This window comes from Homo sapiens, chromosome 1 (genome assembly GCF_000001405.40).
Source record: "Homo sapiens chromosome 1, GRCh38.p14 Primary Assembly".
NCBI classification, from domain to species: Eukaryota; Metazoa; Chordata; class Mammalia; order Primates; family Hominidae; genus Homo; species Homo sapiens.
The window spans coordinates 158987916-159004890 of NC_000001.11; the positions used below are offsets into that span (position 1 = coordinate 158987916).

The window sequence follows — 16975 nt, forward strand, 5'->3', positions numbered from 1 at the left end:
AAAGGGAAAATTTGAACACAGAGAAGGACATACTATGGAGAATACAGTGTGAACATAAAAACAGATAGTAAGGTTATGCATCTATAAGCCAAAGAACACTGAAGATTTTCATCAAACCGCTAGAACCTACGGAGTAGGCACAGGACAGATTCTTTCACAGCCATCAGAAGGAATCAAATCTGCTCATGCTTGATCTTGGACTTATAGCCTCCAGAACTGTGAAACCATAAACTTCTGTTGTTTAGGCCACCCAGTTTGTGGTATTTTCTTTTAGAGGCCCTAGAAAAGTAATAGTTTGGAAAAGTGACATGGGGTATTATTGTAACAAATACTTAAAAATGTGGAGATGGCTTTGGAATTGGAAAATTGGTATCAGCTGGAAGAATGAGGTATATAATATAATGAGTTTAAACTGGAAGAATGAGGTGTGTAATATAAAAACTATAGGTTGCCTTGAAGAGATTATTTGTAAACATGAACATTAAAGGAGGTTCTGGTATGGACTTAGAAAGAAAGAGAGGAGAGTCAAAGAGAAAGCCTCTATGATCTTTTAGAATAAACATGTCATCATCAACATCATCAACAGAATGTTGCTAGAAATATAAATGTTAAAGACGGTCTGATTAGGTCTCAGGTGGAGATGAGGTAAATGGGAAGAAAGGCAATCCTCATTATATAGTGAGAGAGGACTTGGCTCTCTTGGCTGTATTGAGTTCTGTTGAATAAAAAGTAGACTCTGTAAGTGATGAACTTGGATACTTAGCTGAGGAAACTTCTAAGCACAATGTTGAAGGAATACCCTAATTTCTTCTTACTGTTTAAAATAAAATGAGGAGAGAGATAAACTGAAGAGAAAATTTTTTGAGAAAAATAAATGAGAATTTGAATACAAGCATTTGAAAAATGCTTATTCTATTCACATTGCAGAGAGAGAGACTCTGAAGAGAATACCAAGACACACCCCCACTGGGGCTGGATAACCTCTTGCTAAAGAGCTCAGGTATATGACAAGTGGACACCATCAACCATTTCAGCTGACATGCTGTCAGCCTGTACCAAAGGATGTTGAACCTGGATCCAAAGAGCCTTAAAATCTCATATAATTTTCTCCACTGGTTTTTGGACTTGTTTGGGACCTGTATCCCTTTTCTTCTGTCTGGTTCTTCCCTTTTAAAATGGAAATTTCTATGCTATGCCTGGCAGATCATAGTATTTTAAAAGAGATAACATATTTTCTAGATTTTCAGGTTCACAGATGGAGAGGACTTTTGCCATGGAATTAATCATATCCTGAGTCTCACCCATATTTATTTTGATATTTAGTTGAGATTTTGGACTTAGTTAATTTTAATGAATGAGTTAAGACATTGGGGAATGTTGAGGTGAGGTGATTATATTTTGCATTTCATCAGGATATGAATTAGTGAAGGTCAAGAGCGGACTTCTGCTGGTTGAACTGTAACCTCCCAAAGTTTGTGTGCTCAGTTCCTCACTTCTCATACCTAAAAATGTGACTTTATTTGGAAATAGGTTCATTACTGATGCAATGAAGTAAGCTGAGAGCATTAGGCTAATTATTGTCTAATTCAATAACACTGGTGTCCTTGTTTTTTAAAAAGGGAAATTCCAGAGGCATATTTACAAGTGGAACATCATGTAACGATGAAAGTAAAGATCAGAATAATGCATTCATAAGCTAAAGAACACCAAAGATTTCTGGCAAACCACCAAAAGCTAGGGAAGATACATGAAACAGTTGCTTTCTCAGAATAAGTCAACCCTGCTGACCTCTTGATCTCAGGCTTAATTCCTCCAGAGACATGAAACAATAAATTTCTGTTGCTCAAGCCACCCAGTCAAAGGTACATTATTACAGCAACCCTTTAAAACTAATACATTCTTAAAGGACCATCTTCCTTTTCATCAGAGCATTTATCTCAGTTTATAACATTTATTAATTTCCTGTTAAAAAAAAAACTACCTTCCAAGTTCAAGTATAATTTCCATAAAACTTGTATTTGTTTTTAGTTTCCTCTTTTATCTACAGAACCTTAAAGATTCTCTGGTAGCTATTAAGAACACAATAGAATGGATAAATGCATAAATGTGTGAATGAGTGTATGGCATGCTGGCTTCTCATCAATGCTTCATGATGAATAGTCAACTTCCACTCATGATGTGAATATGACCATGTATCAAGATGGCCAAATTTAATTTTTTAAGGCACGCTGAGACAGAAGAGGATAAGAGAAATTGTTAGATATTGTTTCTGATAGAACTTGAGCAGTTCTAGGCTGAAGAAACAAGGTGATCACCTTGCATTTAATAGAAAGAAGAATGATTTAGTTATTAGATTAATTTAATATGACTGTCTAGGGGTAGAATGAGCTGTGTTATGAGATGGTGAGTTCTCTGTTGTGACCTTTCTTTTTGGGAGGCCATAATAATCTATTATTTCTTTTTTTTTAATTTTCTAAGTTGACAGACAACATTATATGTTTTTATCAGGTACAATATGATGTTTTGAAGTATATATACATTGTGAGGTGGTTAAATCTCTCTGATTAACAAATATATTACCTCACAGCCAACATTTTTGTCATGAGAAGACATAACATCCACTCTCTTTATATTTTTCAGGAATACAATATTTCATCTTTAGCTATAGTCACCTTGCTATAAAATAGATTTCTTGATATTTATTACTCCAATCTAACTATAATTATATCTTTTGACCAACATTTTCCCATTTCTCCCTCCCCTACAACATCCCTACCCTTTGTTTACCACCACTCTACTCTCTACCACTATGAGATCAACTTTTTGAGATTCTACATATGAATGAGTGATACAGTTTGGCTCTGTGTCCCCACCCAAATCTCATCTCAAATTGTAATCCCTGTAACCCCCAAGTTTTGAGGGAGGCACATGGTGGGACCAGGGGCCAGTTTCTCCCATGCTGTTTTCATGATAATGACTGAGTTCTCATAACATCTGATGGTTTTATAAGTGTTTGACAGTTCCTCCTTCACACGCTCTCTCACCTGCCATCATGTAAGATGTGACTACTTCCCCTTCTGCCATGATTATAGGTTTCCTGAGGCCTCCCCAGCCATGTGGAACTGTGAGTCAATTAAACCTCTTTTCTTTATATCTTTTTCGTATGAATTACCTAGTCTTGGAAAGTTCTTCATAGCAGCGTGAGAACAAACTAATACAATGAGATAATGTGATATTTTTCTTTCTGTGCCTGGCTTATTTCACTTAACAAAATTTCCTTCAGGTTCATCCATGTCATCACAAATGAAAGGATTTCCTTCCTTTTTATGGTTAAAAGTATTATATTTTGTATACATATTTTTTCTTTCTTGTTGTGGGGGTTCAGGGATTTTTTTTTTTTTTTTTTTGGCATTTGGGAGACATCATCTTCCTTCCCCAGGAGAGGGCAGAGAGAGTTGCCTGGATGTTTATGGGCAAATGGGTGCCCCAAAAGCCCATGAAAGCAAGTAAGATCATTGAGGATTATGCGATCTTGTGTTCAAGTCTTATGTGGTCTCCACCTTTCTGAGTTTTTAAGAATAACAGCAGAGGTTGCAGTAAGCCGAGATGGTGCCACTGCACTCCAGCTTGGGTGACAGAGTGAGACTCTGTCTCACAAAAAAAAAAGAAAAGGAAATCTTTGGCCACACATGGTGGTTCATGCCTGTAATCCCAGCACTTTGGGGGGCCAAGGCGGGTGGATCACTTGAGGCCAGGAGTTTGAGACCAGCCTGGCCAACATGGTGAAACCCCATCTCTACTAAAAATACAAAAATTGACCGGGCATGGGGCAGATGCCTATAATCCCACCTACTTAGGAGGCTGAGGAGGGAAAATCACCTGAATCTGGAAGGCAGAGGTTGCAGTGAGCCAAGATGGTGCCATTGCACTCCAGCCTGGGCCACAAGAGTGAGACACTGTCTCAAACAAACAAACAAACAAACAAAAAACCAGGATAACAAACACAAACACAAGTCTATTACATAGTCGTACATTTCTCAGCTTTGTCTTTAAATGCAAAGGCTGACCAAAAAGCTAGCAGTGCTGCAAATGTGATGCCCAGACCAGCACCTCAGGGCTCCATTCTCTGTTTCCATTATCAGCCTACACATGTGTGGACCTGCCTCACTCCATTAGGGCAATAGGAATATTCCATCCACCTGTGCTAGTTGAGTAACGCAAATGACCTCTGACCTGGTTTTCTCTACTGGCCTTTCACTTTGGAGTTCAGTAGTGTATGTCAAGTTTGTTAACTTAAACCACACACACACACACACACATACACAATTTGTCTCTGGCCAAGGCCAGAGACAGGCACTTCAAAGGAGGAGGGGTTGGGGTAAGAGCTTTATGCTGAATAGACAGGCTAAACATACATATTCAACAGGTTACAGAAAGAGCTATAAATATGCACGAAGGTGGTTGCCCAAAGCTGTGGGGTCCCATCTCTTGCTTCAGCATGACCTGGATGTGAGACATGGAGTATAACATTTTGGAACTTTAAGGTTTAACGACTACTCTATTGGATTTTGGACTTGCATGGGGCATGCGGCCCTTTTGTTTTTGTCAATATCTCTTATTTGGAACGAATGTATTTACCCAATACCTGTAGCCCCATTGTATCTAGGAAGTAACTAACTTGCTTTGGATTTCATAGGCTCATAGGTGGAAGGGACTTGACTTGTCTCAGGTGAGACTTTGAACTTGGAATTTTGTGTTAATGCTTGAATGAGTTAAGAATTTGGGGGACTGTTGGAAGGGCATGATTGTGTCTTGAACTGTGAGGACATGAGATTTGGGAGGAACCATGGGCTAAGTGATAAGGTTTGGCTCTGTGTCCCCACCCAAATCTCACCTTGAATTGTAATAATTGCCATGTGTCATGGAAGGGACCCAGTGGGAGGGTAATTGGATCATGAGGACAGTTTCCCCCATGCTGTTCTTGTGATAGTGAGGGACTTCTTACGAGATCTGATGGTTCCATAAGGGGCTTCCCCCTGTGCTTGGCACTCATTCTCTCTCCTGCTGCCCTGTGAAGAGGTGCTTTCCGCTATGATCGTAATTGTCGTGAGGCCTCCCAGCCATGCTGAACTGTGAGTCAATTAAGCCTCTTTCCTTTATAAATTACCCAGTCTTGCATATGTCTTTATTAGCAGTGTGAGAATGAATTAGTCAGTAGTCTTGACACATGCACATGCATACAGAACAAACATTCATGTAGTATATGACCCATGTTCACTTTGTGGTGTAGAGTTAATATTGAAATGTATTACAATTAGAACATATACATCAAAAGGTCTTTTCAGGACACAAAGGTACACAATTGCACAGTCTCTGCAAACTGGCCAGTCAGCCCATGTTTGGTCATCTTCTTATCAGGATAACAATATTGAAATCAGTATTTTGTCCAATCAAAGCTGTAGCTATGGCTGATGGAACAGGAGCTCAGTTAATCAGCACCTGTGAGCTGGATGAGTTGTAATTGTTTTAATATTGCTTATTTCAAGGTCAGTGCTTGTTTGGCTGCTAGATATTTAAAAAAATAACTTTGTCACACTTAGACCATAGTTTATCCTTTTTTAAACATTTATTTTAGGTTCAGGGTTACATTTGCAGGTTTGTTATATAGTTAAACTCATGTCACAGGAGTTGGTTGTACAGATCATTTTGTCACCCAGGTACTAACCCTAGTACCCAATGGTTATTTTTTCTAATCCTCTCCCTCCTCCAACTCTCTACCCTCAGGTAAACCCCAGTGTATGTTGTTCCCTTCTTTGTATCCATAAGTTCTCATCATTTAGATCCTGCTTATAAGTGAGAACATGTTGTATTTGGTTCTCTGTTACTGTGTTAGTTTGCTAAGGATAATGGCCTCCAGCTGCATTTATGTTCCCACAAAAGACATAATCTTACTCTTTTTTATGGCTGCATAGTATTCCATGGTGTATATATACCACATATTCTTTATCCAGTCTACCACTGATGGGCATTTATGTTGATTCCATGTCTTTGCTATTGTGAATAGTGCTGCAATGAACATTCACATGCATGTGTCTTTATGGTAGAATGATTTATCTTCCTTCATGTATGTACCCAGTAGTGAGATTGCTGGGTTGAATAGTAGTTCTGTTTTTGGCTGTTTGAGAAAACACCACACTGCTTTCCACAATAGTTGAACTAATTTACACCCCACCAACAGTGTATAAGCATTCCTTTTGCCCCACAACCTTGTCAGCATGTTATTTTTTGATTTTTTAATAATAACCATTTGGGCCAGGGGCGGTGGCTCACATCTGTAATCTCAGCACTTTCAGTGGCCAAGGTGGGTAGATCACCTGAGGTCAGGAGTTCAAGACCAACCTGGCCAACATGACAAAGCCCTGTCCCTACTAAAAATATAAAAAGTAGCTGGGCGCAGTGGCGGGCACCTGTAATCTCAGGTACTAGGGAGGCTGAGGCAGGAGAATTGCTTGAGCTCAGGAGGCAGAGGTTGCAGTGAGCCGAGATTTCACCACTGCATTCCACCTTGGGTGACAGAATGAGACTCCATCTCAAAAAAAAAAAAAAATTAAAAATTAAAAATAAAATAATAGCCATTCTGACTGGTGTGAGATATATCTCATTGTGGTTTTGATTTGCATTTTTCTCATGATCAGTCCTATTGAGCTTTTACTCATGTGCTTTTTGGCCACACATATGTCTTCTTTGAAAAACATCTGTTCACATTCTTTGCCCGCTTTTCAACAAGGTTGTTTGTTTTTTTCTTGTAAATTTGTTTAAGTTCCTTATAGATGCTGGATATTAGACATTTGTCAGATGCATAGTTTGCAAAATTTTCTTTTATTCTATAGATTGTCTGTTTACTCTGTTGATAGTTTCTTTTGCTGTACAGAAGCTCTTACGTTTAATTAGATTCCATTTTTCAATTTTTGCTTTTGTTATGATTGCTTTTGGCATCTTTGTTATGAAATCTTTGACCGTTCCTATGTCCAGATGGTATTGCCTAAGTTGTCGTCAGGATTTTTATAGTTTTGGGTTTTACATTTAAGTCTTTAATCCAGCTTGAGTTGATTTTTGTATATGGTATAAGGAAGAGGTCTAGTTTCAATCTTGTTCGTATGGGTAGCCAGTTCTCCTAGCACCATTTATTGAAAAGGGAGTCCTTTCCCCATTGCTTGCTTCTGTCAGCTTTGCCAAAGATCAGATGGTTGTAGGTGTACGGCCTTATTTCTGAGCTATCTATTCTGTTCCACTGGTCTGTGTATCTGTTTTTGTACCAATGCCATGCTGCTTTGGTTACTGTAGCCCTGTAGTATGTTTGCAGTCAGGTAACATGATGCCTCCAGCTTTATTCCTTTTGCTTAGGATTGTCTTGGCTATTCGGGCTCTTTTTTGATTCCATATTAATTTTAGAGTAGATTTTTCTAGTTCTGTGAAGAATGTCAATGGTAATTTGATAGGAATAGCATTGAATCTGTAAATTGCTTTGGGCAGTATGGACATTTTAGTGAAATTAATTCTTCTTATCCATGAGCGTGAAATGTTTTTCAATTTGTTTGTGTCATCTCAGATTTCTTTGAGAAGTGTTCTATAACCCTCAATGTAGAAATCTTTCACCTTCCTGGTTAGCTGTATTCCTGGGTATTTTATTCTTTTATTGGCAGTTGTGAATGGGATTGAATTCCTGTTTTGGCGCTCCGGTTGGCAGTTGTTAGTGTATAGGAATACTACTTATTTTTGTACATTGATTTTGTATCCTAAAACTTTGCTGAAGTTGTTTATCAGCTGATAGAGCTTTGGGGCTGAGACTATGGTTTTTTAGATATAGAATCATGTTATCTGCAAAAAAGGATAGTTTGACTTACTCTTGCCCTTTATTGTTTTTTCTCTTGCCTAATTCCTCTGGCCTGGACTGGAAGTACTAGAACATTATTTATTCTTTAAGTGTTGGAGTGCACGACTTAATCTTTGCCTGGCATGGCCCTAGGTCCTGTGTATAATTTGGTATTTTTTGGCCATGAAGAGTCTGTTCTGTCAGTTTTATGATCTCTGTTTTAACAATCCTGATCAGTTGTTGTGTCTAAACCATAAAAGGGAGGTAGGGTATAGTGAAGTGTGTCTGACCTCCCACCCATCATGGCCAGAAACTCAGTTTTAAGGTTTTCCTGGGGTCCCCTTGGCCAAGAAGGGATCTGTTCAGTCAGTGAAGGGCTTAACATTTTACTTTTCATTGATAAGCCACACGTCTTTCTCCATGCTTTTTGTATGTGTGGAACAGTCCTCAGTTACCTGGACCCAGGTGTTTCTAACTTAGGGGTTCATCAATCATGCCCTGTCAGGTTCTGTAGATTCAACTAGAACTGGCCAGAGCTGCTGACACCAGTGTGCATAGCCTTCCTTACAAAGGGCCATTTGTCTAGCCACCAAAGCCACCTTTTGCACTCAATGTGCACTGATTCTGCATGGATGTCCTTTCTACCAGGTACCGTCTTACCCAAACCACACTTTCAATTTCCCCAGCCTGCCCTGAGGGCACAGACCTGGGCTTTCTTCCTCTATAAAGAAAACACTTTTATCTTCCCAGTCAAACTGAAACACAGTTGTCTACACCCATGTCACATGTTCAAAAAAAGAGTACCTATCTTTTTGTTTGTTTGTTTGTTTGAGACAGAGTCTCGCTCTGTCGCCCAGGCTGGAGTGCAGTGGTGCGATCTCAGCTCACTGCAAGCTCCACCTCCTGGGTTCACGCCATTCTGCTGCCTCAGCCTCCCGAGTAGCTGGGACTACAGGCACCGGCCACCATGGCCGGCTAATTTTTTTTTTTTTTTTTTTTTTTTTGTATTTTTAGTAGAGACGGGGTTTCACTGTGTTAGCCAGGATGGTCTCGATCTCCTGACCTCGTGATCACCCGCCTTGGCCTCCCAAAGTTCTGGGATTACAGGCCTCAGCCACCGCACCCAGCCAGGAGTACCTATCTTAATTGAAAACCTTTGAGCAGTGGGCAGCCTTCTCACATTTTGGTGATGGCACTTGGGCTGGAACTGATTAAATTTCTGGTCTGGTGTTGACCATATGGAAAGGGTCACATGAACCTGGCAATGAAAGAATCCCATGGTCTGTTCTACATTCTTCCCTAATGGAAGTTAGCAACGCAGTCCAGTGATTTTTAGTATAAATTTAAGTGCATCTGTATGTTTGTCAGCATGTGCCTTCACATTTTCTTTATCCATTCATCCACTAGTGGACACTTAGGCTGAATCCACATCAATCAATGTGAATTGTGAATAGTGCCATTCATAACCGTGAATCGTGCTGCAATAAATACGAGAGTGTAGAGAGCTCTTCAACATACTCATTTCATTCTTCTTACTATAAGAAGTGGGACTGCTACATCATATGGTATTTCTCTTTTTAATTTTTTGAGGCGCCTCCATACTATTTCCCATAATGGCTTTATGAGTTTACATTCTCACCAACAGTGTAAGGAGCTCCTTTTTCTCCACATCCTTGCTGACATTTGTTATCTCTTGTCTTTTTGATAATAGCCGTTCAAACTGGGATGAGGTGAAATCTCATTATGGCCTTGCTTTGCATTACTCAATGTTTGGTGATGTGGAGAATTTTTCATATACCTGGTGGCCATTTGTATGACTTCGTTTCAGAAATGTCTATTCAGGCTTTTATCTACTTTGTAATCAGGTTATTTTATTTTGTTTTTGTTTATTTTATACCAAGTATTGAGTTCTTTGAATTCCTTATATGTTTTGAATAATCACATGAAGAAGAATAAAATTAGACTCTTATGTTTCACAACATGTGAAAGTCACTCAAAATGAATTAAAGACTTAAAGGTAAGATCCAGAACTATGAAACTACTAGAAGAAAACACAGAGAAAATGCCTTAGGACATTGGTATGTGTAAGAATTGTTTGAATAAGACCTCGAAAGCACAGGCAGCAAAAGCACAAATGGATAAATGAGATTACATCAAACTTAAAAACTTCTGCACAGTATACAATCAACAGAATGAAGGGACAGCTTACAGAATGGGATAAAATATTTGTAAACTATATATCTAACAATATGTCACTACATTTCAAACAATAGAAAGTCATGGACTCTGTCAGGGTTAGTGTAAAGGAATGTCTACTCTAAGAAGTAGTAAAACTAACTTTCAAAGGTAGCTTAGTTTCATGAAACTGGTTTCAGAGAGGTATGAAGATAAAGTTTCCCTTCTGTGTTGAGAGTATACGAGAAAAAACAGAGTGAAGGGAGGCCAAGGGAATCAGCCTATCATTCTACCACATCACATCAGTCATATTTCATCTCCCACACAGTGGTACCGATATTTGTGGACGAGTATGTCTGCCCACTGTAAATCTCTTTTTCATTAATAATCAGATGCAGAATTCTCACTTATTATTTCATTTATCATTTTCAACTTTCTATTTTAATCTTGCAGGACTTTTACAGAATTTGATCACAAGCTCTCTCAGCTTCCTTTTTCCAGGCTTAAGTGTCCTCATACTTTGTCATCTCTCTTTCCATCTACTGATCTTTCCCATAAAATGATTATTAACCGTCTTCATTAAAGATTTCTCCAGATCTCCTCTATCTTCCATGAGGTGAGATCGTGGGTAGAATACTGTATAGTGCTCCACATGCAGGCATAGCACTGGTTATGCAGAAAGAACTTTCAAGAAGGAATGAAAATTGAAACCTACAGAAAACACAACAAAAAACTGGTTTCCTCCAGGGACAGTTAAGGGTAGCATGGGGCACAAATAAATAAATTTGCTACTTTCAAAGTAGGCCTAGGCGTGATCTAGAATAGAAATTTAGAGCTGTAAAGGAACTTAATTGATTTCTGCAGGTCGGTTAGTTGCTTCCGCACATTATGTGAAGTTACTGCCACCTTGTGGCAATACCTAAGCACTACACTTTCTGACTTTGAATAACCTAGAAAAATATAATGCATAAGACAACAAGCCCTTTCGCTAAAGCGCCTTAAATATTGCCTAACAGTTTATATCTGTATAGATCTGTGGCTTATATTATCACTTACATGGTTTCATCTCGACTTCATAGAAATCATGTAAACATAGAAACCATGTTATCCATGTTGCGTGCCTGCGTGCGTGCGCGCGCACACACACACGGAGTAAAAGATGTCGTATAAGTTTTGCTGTTAGAGTTGAACTTAAAAATCTCTAAATTGTTACATTTGGAGGCTCTCATTTTGGGGGATCCTAGTGTGAGATGCTCCTTTGTTGGTCAATTTTAATTATACAGACATAAATAAAGGATATATTAATTATAGAGAAAAAGATCAGAAATGTAAACAAAATGCAGATAAGATGGAGACATTCAATGATTTGTCCAATAATATAAAAACAGTTTTTGTGTGCGGGTAGTTTGTTGTCATTAGTGGAAGGAAATAGAGAGAAGGATAAATAATATTTGAATTTGAAAGAGCGGATGTATGAATACAAGACTCCCTTGAAGAAGAAAGGATCGTCTGGGACCACAGCAGGCCGGGGACAGGGAGAAGAATGAGCAGGCTGTGTGGAAGAACAAAACGACCTAGTATCCCAGTTTATTTTTTTTCCAGTGCTATGATTTCTTTCCTTTATCTTAAAATCTTTGGTAAACATGTAAATGAGGTTTTGAGAAGTTAAGATTGAAATTCCATGTTCATGTTCGCTGCAATTGAACTGGAGAAGTGAAAATATGACAAATGGAAGTGGCAGCCCTAAGGGCTGGAACAAGAGATGCAAACAAAGGCTGGGATGGATTTGTGGAATTTGTAACAAACACTTCCTAGGAGTGATTTCTCAGTAAAAGGGGGCAACGAGGCTGGTGTAGTAAGTTAGCAAACAAATTCCAGCAGCCTTCCCTGGGGGACTTTCATGCTGAAATGCAATCCCTAGTGTTGGAGGTGGGGCCTGATGGGAGGTGTCTGGATCACGGGGGGTGGATCCCTCATGAATAGCTTAGTGTCATCCCGTTTCCCTCATCAACATGCATTCCCAGAAATGCCATGAAAGGAAAGACCAAGTCTTGACTGAGAAACGGACCGGGCAGATGAGGGACTCCCACATATACCTGTTTCCTGCTCTTCCCGAAGACATTTTGCCACAAGCATATAATTCAGCTTCTGAAAAATACGGTCTTCCTCACTGCAGACACCATGCCAGCGTTTTAAATCAAGTTGGCTACTCGTGCTGTTTAGAGTATGCAGTTTGCCTGTGGCAATATTAAACTCATCTGGAAGAAAGCACTTAAACCTATCCAGTTCCTCATCGGTGATGTTATCCAGGCTGGTTAGCAAGAGTATCTCCTTATATTTACTCTCCATCTCACGACTTTTCAGCTTATAAGGGATCCAAACTATGTAAGATTATACCACCAAAAGTGATTCAACATTCAAAATGAAGCAAGGTGAGCTGTTACTATTTTTTAAAGGGAAAATAAAATGTTTACAGTACAGTAAAAGAGATTTTGGTGAAATATAAGAAATAACTTTTTAAGCAAGATAGTCCTTCTTCCTGGGAAAGACATCTTCAGAGGGTATACAACCACCTCCAGAATTCTTAGAAAATGGGATCCATTTTCCTGTTATTTTTAAAACAGAGTTATTCAGGCATAACTGACATACAACACAATGCACATATTTCACATGTGCAATTTAAATTTTTTGACATGTATACAGTAGATAAAGCTCAATTTTTCAATTTCTTCTTTCATGGATCATGTTTTTGGAATCATATGGTTTGGATATTTATTTTCCCCAAATCTCATGCTGAAATGTGATTCCCAGTGTTGGAGGTGGGGCTTGACGGGAAGTGCTTGGCTCATGGGGGTGGATCCCTCATGAATGGCTCAGTGCCATCCCCTGGTTGATGAGTGAGTTCTCCTCTGAGTCACAGAGATCTGATTATTTAAAGTGTGTAGCACATTGAAGACCTAATGTGACCAGTAACCCATTAGAAGAAAACAGGATAATCTCAATATGTTGAGGTAGGGGAAGGTGTCTTAAGCACAAAAGGTGCAAGTCAGGAAGGGAAAGTTTATTAAATTTGATTGCATGTAAACTCTAAATTTCTTTATAAAAAAGAAAAATTAAACATAATACTTCCAAATCCTGAAAGAAAACATAGGCAATGTATATAATTCAGAATGTGTGTAGAACTACATATTGTCCCATTTGTACAGCCCATGTGAAAAATGGACAATAGGTATGAATAACCACGTTACTCAAATGTCCAACACACATATGAACAGGTGCTCAAAATTACCAGTATTTAGTAATTTTACTTTAAAAGTAGCAACCTATATGGTAGAGGACTTGAGCCAAGAACAAGAAAGGATGTTTATGAGCTGAAGATAACCAACTGTGACTTTTAGGGGAGGCTCCCATTGATAGAGACAATGTTAATGAATTCTGAGTTATTACTTTTAATATGAACTTATTATTTTTTCCTATAGACAGGTGATAGCTAGAGAAACCCTATTTATACATGTAGAATTTATAAGCAAAAATTGAAAGTATTTATAAAGTATTTTAAGGGACATTTTCAAAATAAGGAACACATTTCAAATACTTAAAATGATTAAACTACATGAACGCCCCTGTCTTACCAGTGAAAGAAAAGAAGGAAATTTGCATTTCCTGAGCATCTATTATATGCTAAACACAGTCAACTCAGCATGTTTCCCTACTTATCTATAAGAATGCAACCCTCCTACAACCCTATTACGTGCTAACATTCACATATCAATAACAATTTATATATAAGAAAATTAAGACACCTTTTATCACATAAATATAAAATTTACATTTTACTCCATGATATCTGTTTACTTAAAACATATTTTAAAGTATTTGCTATAGGGTAAAATGTATACCCAAAGAAAATGCAGACAATTGATTTGGTGGCTTCATGTCCCAGGGGTGTACACACTGTAGTTGAGAAGTATGGTCCTGTACCATGCATAATAGCTGACACTGGGTAGCAACTTACTGTGTACAAAGTGCTTTCACATGAAGCCTGGAAGACACAAAGAAAAGAAAATGTTGAGGGAGCATATAATCATCTCTGAATGGGGATGATAATTCCTATCTCCAGGTTGTAAATACACAGTATGGTATGCCTGATACAAAACAGCTGGCATTTATTATAGTCTCTCAATTGTTACATTTTAAATTAGGTGGCATGAGTTACCTGGAACCAAACAGCTAGTAAAAGACAGTACATATTACTGAATTCAAGTCTTCTGAATCCAGGAGCTCTGCTTTTTCTTATGCCAACAGCCTGCTTATCATACAGAGAGTATGGAATGATTCTCTGTTTAAAAAAATTAAAAAAGAAAGAAAAAAAAAACTAGTGTTATTTGCTTCGAAAACACCAACCCTCAGATATATAGTAGTGTTATAATTGAAGCATTAGCAATTATTTTCTTTGTCAAATCATTTATTTCTTTTCAACCAGAATATTGGCAAAGCTTGCTCCTTCACTCTGTTCAGATTTCTGCTTGTTTTTTTCTAAGCTCATCCTTCAATGAACACATGCTGCAAAATAGCACGATACCGTTACTATTACCTCATACCATTTGTATTTCTTCATAGAATTTATCTGCTTGTAATATATAAGCATTATATTATATATGACATTATAGTATAAATGCTGTTGCTATTTGTTTATTCTTTAATGGCCAGCCTGCTGAAATAGAAGTGCCTTGTGGTCAAGCATTTGTGTGCTGTTTATTGCTGTACTCCTACCACCTAGAGTAGTAGGTCCTCAATAAACATTTGTTAAATAAACATATGTTGAATCAACTGTCTAGGCATCCCATCTAAGACTTCAGCCCTGGGAATCTCTACTTCCTAGGCTCTATTCATCCATATGGCTTGATTACTCAAGAGCCAGAGTTACCTGAGAATGCACAGAGCAAATGTCCTCACTGCACATTCTTGAAGAGGGATGTTCAAGCCAGAAATAGCATAGATAAAAAACAAAATTATAATCAAACCATATCTATCTACTTGTAGAATGATTTCAAAAGACAGCAAGGTTAAGAAGGCTTTTCAAAATCCAAGGCATTATGCCAAATATATAACATATATTTAATAAAAGTGGAAAATTTGGAAACTTCCATCTCTGGTGGGAGTAATCCAACTTCCTATGGTTCCACTGTGCAAGATACCCTAGATTCTAAGAAGGAAGTAAAACATGGTGTATTGCAGGGAAACTTCAAGTAATTGAATTTGTGTGAACTTTCAGACTAAGCTGATAGAAAATCGCATGGTTTATTTTAATGTTTCTGCTATTAGTTATTTTTTCACGATAATTTAACTGGTGAATCCAGTTATCTATTTAGACAATAGATGTATTTTTATTCTGGCTATGTCATAATATTCTGCAATTACAAAATCACATAACACTTAAATTACTGCCGTAAAGCTAAGAAGAAATAACTTGCCATATTCCAAATTCCTAAAGGAGCTCGATCTCTGTTACCTAAGCAATCCCTCCTCTGTTTTGCTCTTTTGTGATTCTTAGGCTGGAATCACGTTTTGGCTCTATCAGCCTAAGGAGCAGTTAGCCACCTGTCACTGAGTTAGGGAACAAAAAGACCAAGGCGATAGGTATTTGCACCATAAACTTCTCCTATCTTGTATGTCCATAATTCTGTATTATTATTATTATTATTATTATGTTTTGAGACGGGGTCTCGCTTTGTCGCCCAGGCTGGAGTGCAGTGGCATGAGCTCGGCTCGCTGCAAGCTCCGCCTCCTGGGTTCACACCATTCTCCTGCCTCAGCCTCCCGAGTAGCTGGGACTATAGGCGCCCGCCACCATGCCCAGCTAATTTTTTGTATTTTTAGTAGAGACGGGGTTTCACTGTGTTAGCCAGGATGGTCTCGATCTCCTGACCTTGTGATCCGCCCGCCTCAGCCTCCCAAAGTGCTGGGATTACAGGCGTGAGCCACCGCGCCCAGCCAATTCTGTATTATTTTGCATTTCTGACACTCATGACTTGATACCTTAAACATTCAAACACATAGAAGCACTTATTTGTGTGAACAGCAGTTTCTTTCCTTGAACCAAAGATTGTCAACCCTTAATCTAAAACATAAAAGGAAATAAAATTCAAACACCACTTCTCCATTACTTGTAAATTTTATTTCTCTCTTCTTAATATATTAATACCCAAATTCCAGCCAAAATATTAAGGATGGATGTGGTGGCTTATGCCTGTAATCCCAGCACTTTGGGAGGCTGAGGTAGGTAGATTGTTTGAGCTCTGGAGTTTGAGATCAGCCTGGGCAACATGGCAAGACCTTATCTCCAAAAGAAAAAAAAAAGGTTAAGAAATCTAAATTTCAGTTAATTTTGCCCTTATTGCTAAGTAAATCTGAGTAAATTATAGATGTTAGTAATTTGGGGTAAGAATTCCCAAAACCAGCCGGGCATCGTGACTCACGCCTCTAATCCCAGCACTTTGGGAGGCCGAGGTGGGTGGGTCACTTGAGATCAGGAGTTTGAGACCAGCCTGGCCAGCATGGTGAAACCTTGTCTTTACTGAAAATACAGAAATTAGCCAGGCTTGATGGTGCATGCGTGTAATTCTGGCTACTTAGGAGGCTGAAGCAGGAGAATCACTTGAACCTGGGAGGCAGAGGTTGCAATGAGCCGAGATCGTGCCATCACAACAGAGCAAGACTCCGTCTCAAAAGAAAAAAAATTCCCAAAACCAGATGTTTAGGGTGGAGAGTTCATTACTGACAACAGTAGAGAATCTCATCTTCAATTTTAGAGATAAATTATATCAAGGGAAATTTTGACAGCCAAAGTGAAGTCCTGAAATTAAACAGAGTAAAGAAATTATCAATCTAGTAAAGATCCTCAAAGAATGCTTTCTGGAGAACAGT

General features: G+C 38.5%; 3 protein-coding genes across 5 annotated transcripts in view, besides 1 other annotated feature; 2 read left to right on the forward strand and 1 right to left on the reverse strand.

The window, feature by feature from the left end:
- Positions 1-2955, forward strand: part of PYHIN1 (pyrin and HIN domain family member 1) — a 59319-nt gene extending 56364 nt beyond the window's left edge. Inside the window, exon 8 of the mRNA XM_011509243.3 lies at positions 928-2955. Within this exon, the coding sequence (XP_011507545.1) occupies positions 928-942 (15 nt within the window). The 3' untranslated portion in view covers positions 943-2955. The remainder of the gene's footprint in view (positions 1-927) is intronic.
- Positions 8464-8573: an enhancer, noted in NCBI's record as "active region_1900". NCBI's record gives its function as "activates an Ori minimal core promoter by ATAC-STARR-seq in GM12878 lymphoblastoid cells {active_cell/tissue: GM12878}" and the evidence as "EXISTENCE:reporter gene assay evidence [ECO:0000049][PMID:35858748]".
- On the reverse strand, positions 12056-14836 carry PYDC5 (pyrin domain containing 5). The gene has a single exon (NM_001320010.2). The coding sequence runs from the start codon at positions 12395-12397 to the stop codon at positions 12056-12058; it is 342 nt and encodes a 113-aa protein (NP_001306939.1). The 5' UTR covers positions 12398-14836.
- The window catches only part of IFI16 (interferon gamma inducible protein 16), a 55176-nt gene continuing 50261 nt past the window's right edge, over positions 12061-16975 (forward strand). For all 3 annotated transcript variants that reach the window (NM_001364867.2, NM_001376588.1, NM_001376591.1), the window contains exon 1: positions 12061-12480. The gene's annotated coding sequence lies outside the window, so the exon portion shown is untranslated. The remainder of the gene's footprint in view (positions 12481-16975) is intronic.

What these genes read in the sequence shown, in the direction of transcription:
- PYDC5 (NM_001320010.2), bottom strand. Translation starts at nt 12,397, where the DNA reads ATGGAGAGTAAATATAAGGAGATACTCTTGCTAACCAGCCTGGATAAC.